Here is a 1,412-nt window from a genome sequence, read left to right as displayed (position 1 = left end):
TTAGAGATGAAATGGTAAAAAAAATTTTAAATATAATATTTCAGATAATACAAAAGCTGTAAGTACCAATAAGTATTACAAGGAGAATAGGACAATGTGGGATGGGGTTGAATGAAGTTAGTCATTGTAGAAAAGGTGCTTAAGGAAGATGCTATAATTTGGATATTTGACACTCCAAACTTCATGTTGAAGTGTGATTCCCCAGTGTTGTAGGTTAGGCCTAATGGGAGGTGTTTGGGTCATGGTGGCAGTTCCTTCAGGAAAGAAAGGCTTGGTGCCATTCTTGCAGGAATGAGTGAATTTTGACTCTATTAAGTCTTGTGAAAGATAACTCCAAGAGCTAGTTTTAAAAAGAGCCTGGCACCTTCCCTTTCTCATTCTTGCCTCCTTCTCTTTCCATGTGATCTCTGTACATGTTGGCTCTGCTTTGCCTTCCACCATGAGTGGAAGCAGCCTGAAGCCCTCACCAGAAGCAAATGCTGGCACCGTTCTTCTTGTATAGCCTGCAGAATCATGAGCCAAATAAACCTGTTTTCTTTTTTAATTGCCCAGCCTCAGGTGTTCTTGCATAGCAACACAAACAGACTAAAAGAGAAGACAATATGGAAGTGAAAAACTGAACCACACAGGAATTTGAAGAATAGGAACCAGAGAGTGTGCAAATGCTGTGGGGTGGGAGTGTGCTTGATGTTCCTTTGCGTGTCCAAGGAACATCAAGGAGAACCAGATGATTGGAACAAAGTGAGCAAGAGGCACGATGATACACAGTGAACCTGAAGAGGGAGCAAAGAGATCACAGATACATTGCTGCATCATTCTAAGGGCTTTTGTTTTACCATAGGATTATGTAAAAAGAAGTGACATTATCTGAGTTAACTTTTAAAAGACAGATAGTCTGCAAGTCTACTACTTGCAGCACTATTCACAATAGCAAAGACTTGGAACCAACATAAATGTCCATCAATGATAGACTGGATAAAGAAAATGTGGCACATGTACATCATGGAATAAATACTATGCAGCCATAAAAAAGGATGAGTTCATGTCCTTTGCAGGGACATGGATGAAGCTGGAAACCATGATTCTCAGCAAACTAACTAAAGAACAGAAAATCAAACACACCATGTTCTCACTCATAAGTGGGAGGTGAACAATGAGAACACATGGACACAGGGAGAAGAACATCACACACCAGGGCCTGTCTGGGAGTGGGGGTTAGGGGAGGGATAACATTAGGATAAATACCTAATGTAGGTGATGAGTTAATGGGTGCAGCAAACCACTGTGGCACATGTATACCTATGTAACAAAACTGCACGTTCTGCACATGTACCCCAGAACTTAAAGTATAATTAAGAAAAGGAAAGAAAATCTACTGAACAGAATTCCCTAACACAATTTTATTAACTGAA

This window comes from Homo sapiens, chromosome 2 (assembly GCF_000001405.40).
Source record: "Homo sapiens chromosome 2, GRCh38.p14 Primary Assembly".
Classification (NCBI taxonomy): Eukaryota; Metazoa; Chordata; class Mammalia; order Primates; family Hominidae; genus Homo; species Homo sapiens.
The sequence above is the reverse complement of the archived record's forward strand: the minus strand, read 5'-3'. Positions refer to the sequence as shown.